The 21395-nt window shown below is 43.4% G+C and overlaps 1 protein-coding gene across 4 annotated transcripts in view, besides 1 other annotated feature; it reads left to right on the top strand.

Moving 5' to 3' along the window:
* CUBN (cubilin) overlaps positions 1-21395 on the top strand; it is a 305846-nt gene that overhangs the window by 103854 nt on the left and 180597 nt on the right. For 2 of the 4 annotated variants that reach the window (NM_001081.4, XM_011519708.3), the window contains exon 28: positions 5975-6125. In NM_001081.4, coding sequence (NP_001072.2) covers positions 5975-6125 — 151 coding nt within the window. Of the gene's footprint in view, positions 1-200; positions 269-2311; positions 2401-5974; positions 6126-21395 lie in introns of those variants that run through there. The other 2 variants (XM_011519710.3, XM_011519709.3) reach the window with 2 other exon arrangements.
* Positions 18834-19128: an enhancer, noted in NCBI's record as "tiled region #1431; HepG2 Activating non-DNase unmatched - State 24:Quies". NCBI's record gives its function as "activates a minimal TATA promoter and a strong SV40 promoter by Sharpr-MPRA in HepG2 cells {active_cell/tissue: HepG2}" and the evidence as "EXISTENCE:reporter gene assay evidence [ECO:0000049][PMID:27701403]".

Here is a 21395-nt window from a genome sequence, read left to right as displayed (position 1 = left end):
TTAACAGCCTCTGGTTTCCTAACTCTCTTTGCTGCTGTCCCCTGCATGATCTGTCCTCCCGCAATCCCTTCCACACACACAGCATGCTTATCTCCACCCCACACAGGATGATTCGCCTTGGTTTCTGCATGGCTGTCCGGGATGCCTCAGTCTCCACAATGCCCAAGTTGTCATAGCAACACACTGCGAGGATTGGCCTCCACCTCCTCACTGAATTCATCACTTCCCCATCTGCCCTACCAGTGACGATTTCTGTGAACTCTTTTATGTGAGTCAGCTCCTGTTCTCTAATCCCCAACATCTTTCTTTTCTCATAGCTATTTTGGGTGGTTTCTCTGGAAAAAAATGTTGATTCCCTTTGCCTCTGACAAAGAGTTAGAGTAACAATTTGAGCACATTCCACATGCCAGGCCTCATAGCAAACCTTTTACGTGGTTTATCTCATTTGCTGTTGGCAACAATATTATGAGATAAGTACCATTATGGTGCCAGATTTATAGATAAAGACATTTTAGCTTGAAGAAGTTCAATAATTTTCACAAAATTGTGTTCTCTAAATTTTAGAGCTGGGCTATGAACACAGAGCCTGGCTCTGGCCACATTGACATTAGTCAAGTACATTCTACAATAAAATTGCTTTCCTGCTTGTGATTGAAATATAATCTTCTATTAGTGACACTCACTTCAAAATGCCACTCTATAAACTGATTGAGTATAGTTCTCAAAAATTGAACGATCATCTTTTCATTGAGTAGAATTTTTATTCTATAGAAAGAATAGGGGATTCTCTACTACACCCAAAATTTCTCCTCACAGCAGATGAATTATTTCAATTACATATTAAGCTCTAAAGAATAGAGGTTTTATGGAATTTGCAAAGATTTATAATTGGAAATGGACCAAATTATTCTCCAGAAGTTTCTCCATGTTTTAATGATATCATCCTAAAGAAACTCTTGAGTTGCTTTTTCTACATGAACTATATTTAATTAATTCTTAAAATTGATCTCCTATAAAAAAGAATTTTCTTCCAGAAGACCTTCCAGGAAATAAAAGAAACAACATTTACAAACAGTATGAATTAGATGTCAATCTAAAACAGAAAGGGCTGAGTTTTAATTGTCACTCACTGTGATTCTAAAATGAGTTTGGGGCTGGGCATGGTGGCTCGCACTTGTAATCTCAGCTCTTTGGGAAGCCGAGGTGGGCAGATTGCTTGAGCCCAGGAGTTCGAGACCAGCCTGGGCAACATGGCGAAACTCTGTCTCTACAAAAAATACAAAAAAAGTAGCTGGGCATGGTACTGCATGCCTGTAGTTTCAGCCATCAGGAGGCTTAGGCAGGAGGATTGCTTGAGCCTGGGAGGGTGAGGCTACAGTTAACCTTATTGCACCACTGCACTCCAGCCTGTGCAACAGAGCAAGATCCTGTCTCAAACAAACAAAAAAATAGTTAAGAAAAAAAGTTAATCTCTACATCCCAAGCTCATATATATAAGATAATTACTTGTAATTTTAATTTATTACAGTTTTAAATTTTTAGCCATGAAACAATTTAGCAAGCAAGGCACTTGAAAGACATATTTTTGTTCTTGGAGATCCTGCAGTTCATAAAGTTGATTTCTACTGAGGGGACAGGTGGGGTGTCTGGGTCTCTGCTCACTTAGAACTTGACTTTCAGTGACTCCTAAGTACCCTCAATCTTACAAAAAAATTGGATCTCTATCAGTGATTGACCACACGTGGTGTCTTTAGTGTTATATCCTCCCCTTTGTTATGGGTCCTTCCTATTTAGAAGTCCACGGATCACTTCCTATTGCAACTGGAGTCTGAATTCACTAATGGTATTGTAAAGTATGTGCCAAATTATCAAACCCGCACAAAGGAAGTAGAAACTGGTAAGTATGGCTAAGGCAAGAGATTTCCTTCCTCTCTGAGTGTGTCAAGAGGAGTTGAGATATTTGGGGGTAGGGTGGGGGTGGGGGGACCTAAGCCACGAAAATCCTAAATGAATAATCTCTTTAAGAGAATAACAAAAGATTTCACAGAGGAAGGTTTTGTAATATACACATCTCCGCATCTGAAGATATATTTAATGGCCAATTTGAAAATGTAAGCATTATTTTAGTAATTTAGAAAAATACCCCTAAACACAGTTATAGAAATTAGATCTGCATATTCAAGGTGAGAATCGCAATCTTTCTTAGTTTTTACTAGTTTCCTTTCTGTAACTCAATTAGAACTTCAAGTATTGTTCACTCTGAGTAGATCTTCAGGCTCTCTAAAAGCAGGGCCACTCCAGCTTGCTTGTCAGTAGTTGCAATGAGTCACAGCTGGAACGTCCTGTGGTTAACATTCTGCTCTGAAAACAGAATCAGAATCAGTGAGACGGCTTTCCATGGTAACCTGTATTTGTATACTTTGAAAAATGACTGTTCCTTTTTGTGTGGTTTTGGGTGGTCAATTTGCGCGGGAATGAATTGTAGAGGTGACGTTACCCATCTGTGTGAATATAAACAAAAAACCTGATTTTATTAACGGCAAACTTTAAAAAACGAGGTATGAGTTTTTTTTTTTTTCCTTTTCGAGACATTGTTCTACACATTTATTACTAGATTGGACATTATATTTAAGCATTTTCATAAATGTCTATTTGATGCTTATTTTAATGCATAATTTTCTCCCCCCAAAGGCAAAAAGAAACTAATTGTCATTCATCAGTGTTGCCCCCCAAACCTACTGCCTAGCCCCTCCACCCCCACCCAGTACTTTTACAATGTGTTATTAAAGACCACTGAACAGCTGAGATCCAGGGGTCTCCTTCAATGCGTAATCCCATCCAGAAGGAAGGAAAAAAAAGAAATCTCTTTAAGTCACGTGAAAATGCCACATTTCTTAATCTTGCAGAGCTGACAGGCAAAAATGCTATGCTGTTCATGACCTTGTGCAGGATTGAAATATAATTCCGCAACATGCTGCGACCTAGTATTCCGTAAGACACATCGAGCTTAGGGTGATTATAGTTATGGAGAAATCTTACCTATGTTTTGTTGGATAAGGGTTATGATGACTTAGCCTGGGCTCAGAGGCCTGACAGAAATGAAATAATTTATGCTTTGGTCACTAAATTACAATCCAAAGGTTAAGATTTGGGGAGTGAAAGATGGTAGAGCATTTGCTTGCTAATTACTCCACTACTTGGGAGCAGTATGTTTGTTTCTGTGCTAATTAGTTTAGAACTGTACTTCATGCCCTAGAATTAAGAAAAACTCTAAAGCTGAGATGAATCTCCTGCAGGGAAGCAGGGATTTAGAAGCACAGGCTGCAAGGTTGGCCTCTCGCCCTCCGGTTTCTCCGCCTGCAGGAGAGGGTGGGACTGAACGCTAAGGTGAAAAGCTTCTGTTCCGTTTCGTTTCCCTCTTCATTTTCTGTTGCTTTATTCTTCTCTTATTCTCCCCTATTCATTATAGGGGAGGCTTCTGATAAATGTGTAGAATATTAGAAACTTGATAATAAATATACACATTCAAAGCAGCAGTACGAAAAACAGAAAAAAAGGAAGCTACAGCAGTAAGCCTGAAAAATAAAACTCATCTTTATTCATTTGCTTAAAATGCTTAGGTTTAGTGCTTTGGGGTGAATGACATAATAGGCTTCTGAGCTTGTCTTTTTAAAAATATCTGCTGACCTTCCCTGAAATCTCACAAGCACTTATGATGAGCAGCCGATTTGAGAACTCAGCGAGACAGGCCAAGGTTTAAAAATCTGCGATTTATCATAACCTTAAACAAGGCCCTCACCTGGTTCTCCCTTCTACGGAGTGGCACAAAGGGTCCAAATCCTTTATGGTCTAAGAGGAGCCTGTTGAAATTGAGGATTGTATGGCACTACTACCTATCTAACTGTACAGAGTGCAAATAATCGTGCAGATTGGGTCCTAAGTAAAATAAATACAGCTGGCGGGGGAAATCACTGCGTTCATTCATTGGAGATGCATGGGGAACCTGCCTTTATCAAAGCCCTGCTCTGGGCAGTGAGGGGAAGGCCAGAGGTGGTCTGTGCTTTAAGGCGACTCACAATCAGTAGGGGAGGTAAGACACACAAGCCCATAACAAGAATGCCTGGGGATGTGATCATTTCCACAAAAGAAGCACAGATGAAAAGCAAGGGCTTTCAAAGGCAGACTAATTTATGCCTGACTGCAGGGATTAGGGGCGGCTCCATGGAGGTGCTTTGTAACATTTGGTGGTAAAGTTCTCCACACTCAAATCAATATGTTTCAAACAATATTTCATGTCATAACATTTTTTTTCAATGAAAATAATTTGATCAGTCTGGAATTCATTGAATCCAGATTATACATTTATGCACGGACACGTGCAAACACACAGACACTCACACATACTCTTAAGTAGATGTACTCTCCAAGGGCATCCTCGAGGAAATCCATGAGTCCATTACCAGGTATTTTATGTTTCGTTGTCATGGGCAGCTTATCCCAAGGGTAACTGGAACAAAGTGTTTAAAGGGAACATGAAGGCGATTAGGTGAAAATGTAATGGCCTTAGTCCTGAGGAAGCCAGTCTTGTTGGATTGCCATTATCTTTCTCAAGTGAAGAGATATAGTAGAGAGATTTTTGTGTTTTTTAATTTTTATTTTTCAGTTTGGAGATATACAGCTGATAAAATCATTAAATGAGGTAGGTTAAGGGGACACAACCTTGCACCCTCCATTTCTCCTTGAAGATGTATAAATACCTCAATGGAAAAATGGACGAAGACATCAGTAAACAATTTACAAGAGAAGAAATCTAAATGCCCCTAAACATGAAAAAAAAAATCCTTCAATGTCAAAGTAATTAAAATAACACAAGTTAAGACAATTACAAAAAGGCAGTTTTTCACTGTCAGTACTAGTTTAAAACATGATCGTCATCATAATTGACAAAGCTCCACTGAAAGAAACACCTCTGTTAACTGCTTGTGGGAGGATAGGTTGGTATAAACTTTCTGGTAAGAAATTTAATAATATTTTATAAAGAGCCATATGATTATACTGTTTGTTATTCCCTTTCTAGGAATCTTTTAAAAGAAACATTTGAAGTATCAAACAGCTATTTATATCAGCAAAAGATTGGAAATATCTTAAATGAAACAACAATAGAATTATAATATAAATACATTATATTTGTGGCATTTTACACCAAGGTTTACACAATTAAGTGATATGTTCAATGAAAAACAAGAAACACAATTAAATACATAGCTCAAATGTATAAACACATATATACACCTGCACAAATAGGTATATTACACATATATACAAATGAAAAAAGTATCAAGAGAAATTTTTGGATTTAATGAAATATTAACAGTGTTTGTCTTTAGTCGAATCAATATTTGTATTTTCCTTTTTCATATATTTCTAAAATGTCTGATTATTTTACAGGTAGCATTTATTTTAAAAATTACCTCTTGAAGGGATGGCTACCCCATTTTCTATGATGTGATTATTATACATTGCATGCCTGTGTCAAAGTATCTCATGTACCCTATAAATATATACACCTACTATGTACCCATAAACATTTAAAAATATTTTTAAATTATATCTTACAATTATAATAGCTGCTATTCATTGAGCCCCCCTATGTGTTGTTAATATGTGAATGCCTACTATTTCCGTATTCTGAGCCTGAATTATACTTTGGACTTGCTAGGTTGACATAAAACCAAAAGTTACTAGTTGGGTTTCCAAATTTATTGGGCTTAGGAATCAGATCCATCTCTAATACCCTCTCTATGCAATTATCAATTTTTAATTCTTATGTTGAGTTCTGTGTACTCAACCCACCTCAGCAGATTTACCTCTAACTTTTGAACCAAGGAACAGCTTTTGCTACTTGTGTAGACTTGGATTTTTCCATCCCACAAACCATGTGTTTTTATATGGGAAAGTTTCTCTTCAATTTCAGCTCTATGATGGACCACGGCAGATGGGACGCTACTGTGGAGTAGACCTGCCCCCTCCAGGGAGTACTACAAGCTCCAAGCTTCAAGTGCTGCTCCTTACAGATGGGGTTGGCCGCCGTGAGAAAGGATTTCAGATGCAGTGGTTTGTTTACGGTAAGCCAGGTGCTGATCTCAGTTGTATTTGCAGTTGCTATTTGGCCAAGAATTTTTTCTTTTTCAGTTCCAAACTTAGAAACAATACCATGAACAAATAATGGAACCCAGGTAGTAATCTCATGCAAGGGTTTAAGAAATATACTTAGATATTGGTGGAACTTGGAGAGTTAAGTCTGTTAGGATTAAGAGAGGAAGTGACATCAAAGTGGAAAGAATTTGGTTAATTGTAGGTGTAGTAATAAATTGCCTTAGATAAAGAAAGAAGCAGAATGAAGTTTCTAGGGATGAAGAGTTGAACCTGGGTATAGCAAGCTAACTGCAAGTTGGGGTGGGAGTATCTCAGGTGCAATGGAATAGAATGAGACTTAAGGCTCACCTTGACGTTAAGCAGAGAAAGGGTAGGGATAGACTAGAAAGAATGAAAGTCAGACAGGGATGGGGAAAAGGAAGGGGTAGGGTTGGCCTGAGAGGAGGAGAATTTGAGCTGCGATGCACAAAGCCAGGGGCATGTGTTGTACTTGTCAAACAGGAAGGGGCACATCTGGATCCCACCTACGAATTGGTGGTTCAGGAAGCAGGTAGGGATCATCATTCCTCTGAAGATGAAAGGTCTTCTTTAACAAGAGATCTGAAATGTCTTCAAATCTCAGGTGGGCCAATCTGCAAGTGGAGAGCCCCAGAGCAGTGGTTCCCAAAATGTGGTCCCTAGAGAGCAGCGTCAGCATTACCTGGAACCTGTTAGAAATTCAAATTCTTGGGCCCCATCCCAGGCCTACAGAATCACAAACTTTGAAGTGGAGCCCAGTAATCTGTGTCTTAACTGGTCTCCCTGGTGATTAAAGTTTGGAAACTACTGAGAGGTGAAGCCGGCTGAGCTTCTGGGTCAGGTGGGGACTTGGAGAACTTTTCTGTCTAGCTAAAGGTTTGTAAATGCACCAATCAGCGCTCTGTGTCTAGCTAAAGGTTTGTAAATGCACCAATCAGCACTCTGTAAAAACCCACCAATCAGCGCTCTGTGTCTAGCTAAAGGTTTGTAAATGTACCAATCAGCGGTCTGTAAAAACGGACCAATCAGTGCTCTGTAAAATGTATGAATCAGTGCTCTGTAAAATGGACCAATCAGTGCTCTGTAAAATGGACCAATCAGCAGGACGTGGGCAGGGCCAAATAAGGGAATAAAAGCTGGCCACCCTAGCCAGCAGCGGCAACCCACTCGGGTCCCCTTCCACACTGTGGAAGCTTTGTTCTTTCACTCTTCACAATGAATCTTGCTGCTGCTCACTCTTTGGGTCCACACTACCTTAATGAGCTGTAGCACTCACTGCGAAGGTCTGCGGCTTCATTCCTGAAGTCAGCGAGACCATGAACCCACCGGAAGGAAAAAACTGTGGACGCATCTGAACATCTGAACAAACAAAATCCGGACACACCATCTTTAAGAACTATAACACTCACCACGAGGGTCCGCAGCTTCATTCTTGAAGTCAGCGAGACCAAGAACCCACTGGAAGGAATAAATTCCGGACACATTTTGGTGACCCAGATGGGACAATCACCAAGCGGTGAGTACCACTGGACCCCTTTCGCTTGCTATTCTGTCCTATTTTTCCTTAGAATTTGGGGGCTATATACCGGGCACCTCTTGGCCAGTTAAAAGTGACTAGCATGGCCGCCAGACTAAAGACACGGGTGTCAGGCTTTCTGGGAAACGGCTCTCTAACAACCCCCAACTCTTCGGAGTTGGGAGCGTTGGTTGGCCTGGAACCAGCTTCCGCTTTTCCTGTACTTCTGGGCTGAGCTGAGGGTTGACAGAGAGGAAAGCCATTCAGCTCTGGGGTCCCAACAACAAGTTGGTTGGCCCTGCAGCCATGAGTAAAACTCTCAAAGTCATGTCACCCAAGCAAGACTTGCCCATCTATCCTATCTATCCTGACCCTTGCCTCCTGGGTCCTAATGCCTGTCAGACAAATTTCCTCTCGCCTCTCTTCTCTGAGGCTAGTCCCGCTTCTAAAAACCACTCCCTGTCTCTGTTGCTTTTCTAGGTTCTCCTGTAAGAATGATTTCTAATATAAACTCCAGGACTCTGTTACCTTCTTTAGGCACCTGGGTTCACCAATCAGAAAGACATAATCTTTGCCCAAAGCCCCATTGTAGGGGGTACTATCTGGAATTTTAGGATCCCTCCTCAGACAAGCAGGCCTATCAATAGCTATTCCTGAAGCTAGGATATGGGTAGCATCAGAAATTGTATCCTTCCTATTCATATAAGTGAGGACAAAAGGCATCACTCTTCCAACTCTGGAGATCCCTTCCCTTCCTCAGGATATGGCCCTCTGCTTCATTTTTGGGGCATAACACCTTTATACGATGCGGGTAAGGTCCCAGTACTAACAAGAGAATGCTTAGGACTCTAACAGGTTTTCAAGAATGTGTCAGTAAGGGCCACTAAATCCAATTTTTCTTGGTCCTCCTTGTGGTCTAGGAGGACAGGCAAGGGTGCAGGTTTTGGAGAATACATTGATAAGGGCCACTAAATCTGACCTTCCTCAGTCCTCCTTGTGGTCTAGGAGGAAAACTAGTGTTTCTGCTGCTGCGTTGGTGAGTGCAACTATTCTGATCAGCAGGGTCCAGGGACTGTTGCGGGTTCTTGGGCAGAGGGAGAAACAAAACAAACCAAAAGCACGGGCAGTTTTGTCTTTCAGATGGGAAACACTCAGGCATCAACAGGCTCACCCTTGAAATGTGTCCTAAGCCATTGGGACCAATTTGACCCGCAAACCCTGAAAAAGAGGTGGCTCATTTTTTTCTGCACTATGGCCTGGCCCCAATATTCTCTCTCTGATGGGGATAAATGGCCACCTGAGGGAAGTATAAATTACAATACTATCCTGCAGCTTGGCCTTTTCTGTAAGAGGGAAGGCAAATGGAGTGAAATACCTTATGTCCAAGCTTTCTTTTCATTGAAGGTGAATACACAACTATGCAAAGCTTGCAATTTACATCCCACAGGAGGACCTTTCAGCTTACCCCCATATCCTAGCCTCCCTATAGCTCCGCTCCCTATTAATGATAAGCCTCCTCTAATCTCCCCCACCCAGAAGGAAATAAGCAAAGAAATCTCCAAGGGACCACAAAAACCCCCGGGATATTGGTTATGTACCCTTCAAGCTGTAGGGGAAGGAGAATTTGGCCCAACCCAGGTACATGTCCCCTTCTCCCTCTCTGATTTAAAGCAGATCAACGCAGACCTGGGGAAGTTTTCAGATGATCCTGATAGGTACATAGATGTCCTACAGGGTCTAGGGCAAACCTTTGATCTCACTTGAAGAGATATCTTGCTATTGTTAGATCAAACCCTGGCCTTTAATGAAAAGAATGTGGCTTTAGCTGCAGCCCAAGAGTTTGGAGATACCTGGTGTCTTAGTGAAGTAAATGATAGGATGACAGCTGAAGAAAGGGACAAATTCTCTACTGGTCAAAAAGCCTTCCCCAGTATGGATCCCCACTGGGACCTCGACTCAGATTATGGGGACTGGAGTTGTAAACATCCAATGACCTGTGCTCTAGAAGGACTAAGGAGAATTAGGAAAAAGCCCATGAATTATTCAATGATGTCCACCATAACTCAGGGAAAGGAAGAAAATCCTTCTGCCTTCCTCAAGTGGCTATGGGAGGCCTTAAGAAAATATACTCCCCTGTCACCTGACTCACTCGAGGGTCAATTGATCCTAAAAGATAAGTTTATTACCCAATCAGCTGCAGATATCAGGAGAGGGCTCCAGAAGCGAGCCCTGGGTCCTGAACAAAATCTGGAGGCATTATTAAACCTGGTAACCTCGGTGTTCTATAATAGGGATCAAGAGGAACAGACCCAAAAGGAAAAGTGAGATCAGAGAAAGGCCACAGCCTTAGTCATGGTCCTCAGACAAACAAACCTTGGTGGTTCAGAAAGGACAAAAAATGGAGCAGGCCAATCACCTGGGAGGGCTTGTTATCAGTGTGGTTTACAAGGACACTTTAAAAAAGATTGTCCAGTGAGAAACAAGCCGCCCCCTCGTCCATGTCCACTATGCTGAGGCAATCACTGGAAGGTGCACTGCCCCTGAGTGCAGTGGTTCTCTGGGCAAGAAGTCCCCAACCAGATGATCCAACAACAGGACTGAGGGTGCCCAGGGCAAGTGCCAGCTCATGTTATGACCCTTATTGAGCCCCGGTTACATTTAACCATTGAGGGCCAGGAAATTGACTTCCTCCTGGACACTGGCATGGCCTTCTCAGTGTTAATCTCTTGTCCTGGATGACTGTCCTCAAGGTTTTACCATCCAAGGAATCCTGGGACATCCTGTAACCAGGTATTTCTCCTACCTCCTCAGTTGTAATTGGGAGACTTTGCTCTTTTCACATGCCTTCTTGTTATGCCTGAAAGTCCCACACCCTTATTAGGGAGGAATATATTAGCCAAAGCTGGAGCTATTATCTACATGAATATGGGGAACAATTTACCCATTTGTTTTCCCCTACTTGAGGAGGGAATCAACCCTGGAGTCTGGACACTGGAAGGACAATTTGGAAGGGTAAAAAATGCCCACCCAGTCCAAATCAGGCTAAAAGACCCCACCACTTTTCCTTATCAAAGGCAATATCCCTCAAGGCCTGAAGCTCATAAAGGATTACAGGATATTGTTAAACATTTAAAAGCTCAAGGCTTAGTAAGGAAATGCAGCAGTCCCTGCAACACCCCAATTCTAGGAGTACAATAATCAAAAGGTCATTGGAGACTAGTGCAGGATCTTGGACTCATCAATGAGGTGGTGGTTCCTCTATGTCCAGTTGTACTGAACCCCTGTACCCTGCTCTCTCAAATGCCAAGGGAGGCAGATTGGTTTGCTGTTCTGGACCTCAAGGATGCCTTCTTCTGTATTCTCCTGCACTCTGACTCCCAGTTTCTCTTTGCCTTTGAGGATACCACAGACCACACGTCCCAACTTACATGGATAGTTGTGCCCCAAGGGTTTAGGGATAGCCTTCATCTGTTTGCTCAGGCACTGGCCCAAGATCTAGGTAACTTCTCAAGTCCAGGCACTCTGGTCCTTCAATATGTGGATGATTTACTTTTGGCTACCTGTTTGGAAGCCTCATCCCAGCAGGCGACTCTAGATCTCTTGAAATTTCTAGCTAATCAAGGGTACAAGGCATCTAGGTCGAAGACCCAGCTTTGCCTACAGCAGGCCAAATATCTAGGCCTAATCTTAGCCAGAGGGACCAGGGCCCTCAGCAAGGAACGAAAGCAGCCTACACTGGATTATGCTCACCCTAAGACATTAAAACAGTTGTGGGGGTTCCTTGGAATCATCGGCTTTTGCTGACTGTGGATCCCCAGATACAAGGAGATAGCCAGGCCCCTCTATACTCTAATCAAGGAGACCCAGAGGGCAAATACTCATCTAGTAGAATGGGAACCAGGGGCAGAAACAGCCTTCAAAACCTTAAAGCAGACCCTAGTAAAAGCTCCAGCTTTAAGCTTTCCCACAGGACAAAACTTTTCTTTATACATCACAGAGAGAGCAGGAATAGCTCTTGGGGTCCTTAGACTCATGGGACAACCCCACAACCAGTGGCATACCTAAGTAAGAAAATTGATATAGTAGCAATAGTCAGAGGCTATCAAAATAATACAAGGAAAGGATCTCACTGTCTGGACTACTCATGATGTAAATGGCATACTAGGTGCCAAAGGAAGTTTATGGCTATCAGACAACCGCCTACTTAGATACCAGGTGCTACTCCTTGAGGGACCAGTGCTTCAGATACGTACATGCACGGCCCTCAACCCTGCCACTTTTCTCCCAGAGGATGGGGAACCAATTGAGCATGACTGCCAACAAATTATAGTCCAGATTTATGCAGCCTGAGATGATCTTTTACAAGTCCCCTTAGCTAATCCTGACCTTAACCTATATACTGATGAAAGTTCATTTGTGGAAAATGGGATACAAAAGGCAGGTTGTGCCATAGTTAGTGATGTAACCATACTGAAGTAAGCCTCTTCCCCCAGGGACCAGCAACTAGTTAGCAGAACTAGTGGCACTTACTCGAGCCTTAGAACTGGGAAAGGGAAAAAGAATAAATGTGTATACAGATAGCAAGTATGCTTATCTAATCCTACATGCCCGTGCTGCAATATGGAAAGAAAGGGAGTTCCTAACCTCTGGGGGATCCCCTATTAAATACCACAAGGAAATCATGGAGTTATTGCACTCAGTGCCAAAACCCAAGGAGGTGGCAGTCTTACACTGCTGAAGCCATCAAAAAGGGGAAGGAGAGAGGAGAACAGCAGCATAAGTGGCTGGCAGAGGCAGGGAAAGACCAGCAGAAAGGAAAGAAAGAGACAGAAAGTCAGACAGAGAGACAGAGAGAGGAAGAGAGAGACAAAGAGGGAGTCAGAGAGAAAGAGAAAGAAAGAGAAGGAGACAGAGAGATAGAAAGTCAGAGAGTGAGAGAGAAGAAGAGACAGAGAGACAGAGAGAGAAAGAGAAAGATAGGAAGTCAAAAGAAGGAGACAGGAAGAGACAGAGAGAAAGTCAGAGAGAGAGAGAGGAAGAGACAGACAAAGTCAGAGAAGGAAAGAGAGGAAGAGACAAAGGAGTCAAAGAGAGAGAAAGGGATAGAAGTAGTAAAGAAAAAACAGTGTACCCTATTCCTTTAAAAGCCAGGGTAAATTTAAAACCTATAATAGATAATTGAAGGTCTTCTCTGTAACTCTGTAACACTCCAATACCACCTTGTTGTCAGTGTAAACAAGGGCATAACCTGAAAGCACTGAGGCCACTGACAACCCATAGCATTCCTATCAAACATCCTTAACCCAGCAAGTTTCCTAACAGGGGATCTAAATCTTAATTACCATACAAAGGTCCCACCAGACATAGGAGGAGCTCCCTTCAGGACAGGATATAGATGGTTCCTCCCAGGTGATTAAGGAAAAAGACACAATGGGTATTCAGGAAACTCTTATGGAAGCAGAGTTAGGAAAATTGCCCAATAATTGGTCTGCTCAAATGTGCAAGTTGTTTTCACTCAGCCAAATCTTAAAGTACTTACAGAATCAGGAAGGAGCCATCTATACCAATTCTAAGTTAATATGGATGGAATGAGGTTTTATTAATAGCAAAGAAAAATTAAAATCCCAAACTTACAAGGTTTTCTACTAACGTAGAGTTTGCTAAAAGTTAACAGTGTAACATGCATTATCCTACTACCACACACTCTCAAAGCATTTCTCAGACAGTTTGCAAGAAATAACAAAATCTGTCCAGTAAGGATAGTAACTACAATCCCAAATAGACTCTTCGGCAGCAGTGACTCTCCAAAACTGCTGAGGCCTAGACCCTCCTCACTGCTGAGAAAGGAGGACTTTGCACCTTCTTTGGGAAAGAGTGTTGCTTTTACACTAACCAGTCAGGGATAGTACGAGATGCCACGCAGCATTTACAGGAAAAAGCTTCTGATATCAGACAATGCCTTTCAAACTCTTATACCAACCTCTGGAGTTGGGCAATATGGCTTCTCCCCTTTCTAGGTCCCATGGCAGCCATCTTGCTATTACTTGCCTTCGGGCCCTGTATTTTTAACCTCCTTGTCAAATTTGTTTCCTCTAGAATCAAGGCCATCAGGCTACAGATGGTCTTACAAATGGAACCCCAAATGAGCTCAACTAACAACTTCTATCAAGGACCCCTGGACCGACCCACTGGCCCTTTCATTAGCCTAAAGAGTTCCCCTCTGGAGGACACTACAACTTCAGGGCCCCTTCTTTGCCCCTATCCAGCGGGAAGTAGCTAGAGTGGTCATCACCCAATTCCCAGCAGCAGTTGGGGTGTCCTGTTTAGAGGGGGGATTAAGAGGTGAAGCCAGCTGAGCTTCTGGGTCAGGTGGGGACTTGGAGAACTTTTCTGTCTAGCTAAAGGTTTGTAAATGCACCAATCAGCGCTCTGTGTCTAGCTAAAGGTTTGTAAATGCACCAATCAGCACTTTGTAAAAACACACCAATCTGCGCTCTGTGTCTAACTAAAGGTTTGTAAACGCACCGATCAGCACTCTGTAAAAATGGACCAATCTGCGCTCTGTAAAATGGACCAATCAGTGCTCTGTAAAATGGACCAATCAGCAGGACGTGGGCAGGGCCAAATAAGGGAATAAAAGCTGGCCACCCGAGCTAGCAGCGGCAACCTGCTCGGGTCCCCTTCCACGCTGTGGAAGCTTTGTTCTCTCACTCTTCACAATAAATCTTGCTGCTGCTCACTCTGGGTTCACACTACCTTTATGAGCTGTAACACTCACTGTGAAGGTTTGCGGCTTCATTCCTGAAGTCAGCAAGACCACGAACCCACCGGGAGGAACAAATAACTCCGCACTACCTTTAAGGGCCGTAACACTCATGGTGAAGGTCTGCAGCTTCACTCCTAAAGTCAGCGAGACCACGAACCCACTGGAAGGACGAAACTGCGGACACATCTGAACATCTGAACAAACTCTGGACACACCATCTTTAAGAACTGTAACACTCACTGTGAGGGTCCGTGGCTTCATTCTTGAAATCAGCGAGACCAAGAACCCACCAGAAGGAATAAATTCCAGACACACTACTGTCTTAGAGTGATCTAGCCCTGGAACATGTAGTGCTTGTGGGTCTCATAGCAGTAGTTCTCAACCATGATGCTAGAGCTCATTGGTGTATTTCAATCAACTGGAAAGAGAAGTGGAGTTCCAAGATTATACCAGGAACCAAGCATAGACATCTAAGCTGTGGCCCTGCTGTCAAAATCAGGGCTGAGCTCTAGCTGAGCACACATGAATGTGTGCAGTGGTTGACTCTTAACATTGTTCACATTCTGGTGCACTCATTATAGGAATGTCAGAGCTACTTATAACTGAATAGCCCTATTATACACTTAGGAGTGCTAGGCGTTCTGAGATTATAAACTGGGCTCTGAGTGTATGTCTGTTAAAATATGTATGGGGCTTTCAGTATTTAAAAATAGTCAGTGGTCATCCACAGAGCTACTTGCAGCTTGAAACGTACATTAGGAATTCCCAAAGTAAATGAGTTGTGATAACTAAGCTTGTAGAAGTTCTGGACCTTCCTCTTCATCAAGTGAGTAGATATTTATATATTTATTTATTTATTTATCAAGATAGGATCTTGCTCTGTCATCCAAACTGGAGTGCAGTGTCCTGGTCATAGCTCACTGGAGCCTTGAGCTCTGAGGCTTAAGTGATTCTCTCACTTCAGCCTCTTGAGTAGCTGAGACTACAGGTGTGTACCACTGCACCTGGCATTTTTTTTTTTTTAGTAGAGTTGAGGTCTTGCTATGTTGCCCAGTCTGATCTTGAACTTCTGAGCTCAAGCAGTCCTCCTGCCTTGGCCTCCCAAAGTGATGGGATTACAGGTGTGAGCCACTGCACCTGGCCCAAGTGGGTAGATTCAACCTAAGTCAACTCATGGATCCGTTAAATGCAGGGATTGGATTGATTCATCTCTATAATACAGATGATCTGTAGTATTCCGTGATTCTGAAACACATGATTCTAACTAGAGACAGTGTGAAAAGAGACAGAAAGGTCAGGAGAATCCTGGGAAATGGCCCAGAATTTCAAGGGCTGGGGCATTCTCCAGAGCATACGTGCTACCCAGATGCTCCTGTGCACATGAACCCTGGGGATCTTGTTGGATAGAGGATGGGGTCTGGGGCAAGGCCCGTGAATCTGCATTTCTAACAAGCTCCCGGGTAATGCTGCTGGTGCTGCTCTATGGACCGCTCTGAGGAACAAGGTGAGAGCAAGTGTTGAGACTGGAGAAATGAGATGGTAGAAAGACAGTATCCCTAGAGACTGGAGAATCCTTCTGAGATGTTGAAAGGGCACATTGTACTGTTTGTTTTAATGACAGTAGGATAATAGCAAGATCTAAAGCAGAGAGAACTTTCCCCCAGGGACAGAAGTGTAGAAGGTAAGAAATGTTAACCAGGAAGCCTGGGCTCAGGGCCCTGGAGAGTGTTCTCAGTCCTAGATGCACCATTGGAATTGCCTGGGAGTTTTAAAAAGTGCCCATGCCTGGGTTCCAATATCCAGAGACAGGATTCAGTTGGTCTGCAGTGGGGCCCTGACTATTGCTAATTTCTAAATGCTCCTTAAGTGATTCATCCGTACAGTCAGGATGGAGAGTTTGGGAGGGCAGTGATTTTGCTGATTACTTTCTCCTAAGTGGCTGCTTCCTCTCCCCTCCAGGCTGTTCTAGCCTTACTAGCCCAAGGCCACTCTAAGGAGCTTGATTGAACGGTCATGGCAGGCTGTGCCCAGATTACTGTATCAATGGGCTCTTCCAGCCAATGTGCTGAATATTCTGGTGAAATCTCTGAGTTTTATGTTGGGAACATTTTTTTCTACCAGTTCTACTTGGAATCTGTCTTCCTTTGGGAGAGTCAAAGGCACCCTCTGTCTATTCTGCTTTCCTGTTTACTATTTCAAAACTTTCTCCCAGTTGCTGGAAACTTGGAGCCAGAGTTATGCAACAAAATGTTGCCAGCTGGGACCAGAACCGAAATATAAAATTGTTTTTTAACTCTGTGCTGCTCACAATATGTAAATTATACTTGGGAGGAAACTTCTGGAAAGGAATTTTTAGTCATTTAGATCTGTGCAAAATTGACTATCATATTCTACAGGTATGCAATGCCACAGGTACACAGAGTTCAATACTCTGCATCTGAAGTAGGTCTTTAGTTTGAGATAACCTGAGAAGGGGAGCCCACAGAGAGGGCGAGCTCTTCCATGGGAGAGGTCCCGCCATTTTTGATCCATTGGAGTTAAATGCAAGACGTAAATCATGATGTATCATTCACGCATTTGTTCATTCCACAGACACTAAGGATGTCTTTTGTGCCAGGTACTGTGCTGAGACGGGGGACACAGAGTGACTCAGACCAGCAGGCCTGGTTTCTACTCTACAGAGCTAGGCTAGGTGGGAGAAGCAGACATCACGCAAAAACACACTTAAATAAATAGAAAATCAAAACCATGAGTAGTGCCAAGCGGGCACACACAGGGCATCTGACTTGGGCCCAGCAGGAGGTCAGGGATGATCTCCACGCAAATGAGACCTCTGAACCAAAACCTAAAAAATAAGCAGGAGTTAACTAGGCAAGCAGGATAAGGAAAAGGATTCCAGGTAGAAGAAAGACCCTGTGATAGGAGGGAGTGGGGAGAGCCCGAGGGACCTGAGAAGTCAAGAGGATGGAACTGAGTCGAAGAGAAACAGCGCTGCCAAGGTGGCTGCAGAGCTAAGCACATAATGTGGCTAAGCGCGCACACACACACACACACACACACACACACACACACGAGCAGGGATTCTGCAGCCATGGGGCCAAAATAAATTTAAAAATTACTCTCAATGCTCAAGACACACACACACACCACACACACACACACACACGGGGAGGGACTCTACAGCCACAGGACTAAATAAATGTAAAAATTACTCTCAGTGCTCAAGAGACACACCACACACACACACACACACACACACACACCACACACGGGCAGGGACTCTACAGCCATGGGGCTAAATAAATGTAAAAATTACTCTCAATGCTCAAGTGTAATTGTAATTTTTTTTTTGAGACGAGGTGTCATTCTATTTCCCAGGCTAGAGTGCAGTGGCGCAATCTCAGCTCACTGCAGCCTCAGCCTTTTGATAAGGTGATCCTCCCACCTCATCCTCTTGAGTAGCTGGGACTACAGGGGTGCACCACTTCACCCAGTTAACTTTTGTATTTTTTGTAGAGATAGGGTTTCTCTGTTTTCCAGGCTGGTCTCAAACTCCTGAGCTAAGCAATTTGCTTGCTTCGGCCTCTCAAAATGCTGGGATTACAGGCATGAGCCACTGAGCTGGTCATAACATTCTTAAATGCATTTGTGTGAGTGTGTGTAACATATCAGAAGGAAAATAATTAGAAAGGCTTCTCCTTGCACAGCCCCGCAAGGGATGTTCTCAGAATCAGGTGGAGGGCTCAGGACAGCCCCGCTAACGCTGGTCCTGGAGTTGCTCTTCGTGCCCTGGCCAGGTCAAGTGGCTTTAAACTCCTAGCCTCTTTTCCTCAGAATCCTATCACCTTGCAATCCCTTCCCCCTGCCCCACCCTCCCCACTGGACTCTTTTCTAAACTGTGCAGTACGATCTCCAAACACCAAGCAGAGAGTTCAAACTTGGCAGCGACATCATTTCCTGAGCACTGCTTCTGAGGAAGAGTTCCTACACACTTCATTCATTTCCCCAGTTCATACACAAACGCATTTACAAAATATGCTTCTTTGTGAACGACACAAACCTTCTATTGGCTTTAAGAAAACGGATCTACAACGAGGCTTTATCTGTGGGCTCTTTCTGAACATGGCCATGCAGACATGAGACAAAGTAACATTGCAGGGCCTTTTATGCGGGTCCTCAAAGAGGGCCCCACCCTGGAAATAAAGAAATGGCCACAGTTGCCCTGTCTCTAATCGGTTCATGGTATTCAGCCTTGACAGCATTGTCCAGCGGCTGAATTCAGCCTTGGAGGCCTCCATCTGGGTTGCAGGGGGAGGGGGTGGGGGATAGGGGTGGGGAATACAGAAGTTTCCGCAGGCTGTGTGAAAAGTGGCCTCCCAACCAGCTGCACAGACCCCCTCGCCTCTTCTGGTCGTTGCTCCCAGAAGCCTTCTTTCACTTAGTGATGGAATCCAGCATACAAACAAGGTCAAGGAGCTTTGTGAGCGAGAGAGTGACATTTGCAAAGGGAGCGAACCCTTCAGCTGGGAGCTTGCAGGAGCAGGGCTAAGGGGCATGTGATCAGGAGGTGATGTCACCCAGGATTTCCACAAAGGAAAAAGTGGCCTTTTCTTTGGGAAGATAGATGACATCAGCCTCTCAAATGGGGGCTGGGTCCATTTTATCTTCCTTTTAGCTATTAAGGAGATTTCTCAAGCCTTGAGAAGTTTCAGAAATTAGAAGAGAACATTTTAAAAACCGTGTCAACATCTTTTATGACTGGCTCGGTTTGGATGTAAGCCAGTGCCTTCTTGACTACCTGTGGGCATGAGGCACTGTACCAAAGGGCTTTTAAAAAACATCTTTAGAGCACTGGCAGAAAACCGCCATGAGGTCGGCAGTGTTTCTCTTAAAGTTAGATCTTTGCTCCAGGTCTCTTTCTCTCGAGTGGTCTTTCATTAGCCTTTGTTTATCACTGGTCTTTCGGGGGAATTCCTTCTCATTCAAAAATTTTATTCCTTTTGTGACTTAGAGTACATGTAGTACGATTTCTGGGAGGTTCACCCTTTAAAGACAAAGGTTTTATCTTTTGTAATTCTGTTATCCACTTGTCTTGTGTGAGAGAAAATGCCTTAGGGTGTGAGGGTGAGTAAGCTGGGCTCTAGGAGAAGATCTGCTGGACCCAGCCTATAATGAACAGGCAGCTACAACTGTGAATCATGTTAATTACATGATTATTTACATGTCAATTACACATAACCTCTGCCAGCAGATATTTTTTGAGAAGAAGTTTTTCATTCATTCAACCAACCATCCAGCACATATTTTGGGCTTGTTGTCTAAATATAGAGAGTATTAATTTGCTTGGGCTGTCGTAACAAAAATGCCACAGATTGGGAGGCTTAAGCAGCAGAAGTGTGCTGTCTCCTGGAGGCTGGAAGTCCAAGGTCAAGGTGTCGGCAGGGTTGGTTTCTCCTGAGGCCTCTCTCCTTGGCTTGCGGATGCTGCCTTTTCCCTGTGTCCTCACATGGTGTTTTCTCTGTGTGTGTTCATCCTGATAGCTCTGTGTGTCCAAATTTGCTCCTTATAAGGACACCAGTCAGATTGGATTACAGTCCATTCAGCTTCATTTTAACTTAATTGCCTCTTTTTAAAGGCCCTATCCCCGAGGACAGTCACATTCTGAGGTCTGGGAGTTAGAACTTCAACATATGAATTTTGGCAGAGATACAATTCAGCCCATACCAGAAAGGAAGGAGATCACATTCTTGACTTTGGGGAGTTAGTCATAGAGTAGGCAAGGCAGGTAAACCAAGTGTAGAAATATATACATAATCCAGGACGCCATGGGAACACAGAAAAAAATAGCTAGGACAGCCTGCGGAAGTTCAAAGAGACCTCCAGGCAGCTTTGACATTTGAACTGAGTTTTAAAGAATGGGCAAGAATTGATCAGACAAATATCTGGGAGAGGAAGGCTTTTCTAAGTAGAAGCAGCAAGGTGTGAGGGCACAAAAGTTTTGCAAAGAGCAAGTCCTTCAGCTAGACCACACATTCTCTGCATTCTCCATTGGGGCAGTATCAACTCCAAGGAGGTAAAATTGGCTCTTGGTAGGGGGATTAAGAAATTCTTACTCTTTAATGTATAAAGCATAAAGATATACAGTACATAACAGATATGCAATATACTTGTGGTATTAAATTTTCATGGTTGAGAATTTGGAAAAAAATGTCCGAACAATCTCCTTAGGGGGCTGATAATGAACAAAAGGTGAGAAACACTAGGGAAAGGGAGTGATAGAAGTTGACGCAGGACACGTTATCAGAAACCAACTGATAGGAAACATCACAAGAATTTGGATTTTATCCTGCCATCAGGGAAAGACCACCAATGGATTTTTAAGTGGGAAATTTAGTGATGCAAACAGAAGTACACTTTAGAATAAGAGTTCTGGCAAGTAGAGGGATGCCCAAGAAGAGGAAGAGACTGAGAGTTTGGTGACTAGTCAGAGCAGGGAGAAAGGAAATGAGTAGTGGGTGAGGCAGCGTATTAAAGAGCTGTTTAGGGCTGGGTGCAGTGGCTCACACCTATAATCCCAGCACTTCGGGAGGCCAAGGCAGGTGGACCATGAGGTCAGGAGTTTGAGACTGGCCTGGCCCACCCCATCTCTACTAAAAATTCAAAAATTAGCCAGCTGTGGTGGTGCGTGCCTGTAATCCTAGCTACTCAGGAGGCTGAGGCAGGAGAATAGCTTGAAACTGGGAGGCAGAGGTTGCAGTGAGCCAAGATGGCACCACTGCGCTCCAGCCTGGGCAATAGAGTGAGATTCTGCTAAAAAAAAAAAAAAAGAGCTATTTAGAAGGTAGGATGGGCAGATCTGATGGTGGAGTAGATGTGTGTCAATCTGGGAGACAGAAGAAGGAATCATGGATAGCTCCCGTTTTCCTGCGGTGTATGATT

The sequence above is a fragment of the Homo sapiens genome, chromosome 10, assembly GCF_000001405.40.
Source record: "Homo sapiens chromosome 10, GRCh38.p14 Primary Assembly".
NCBI lineage: Eukaryota > Metazoa > Chordata > Mammalia > Primates > Hominidae > Homo > Homo sapiens.
This window is presented reverse-complemented; position numbering and strand designations above follow the sequence as displayed.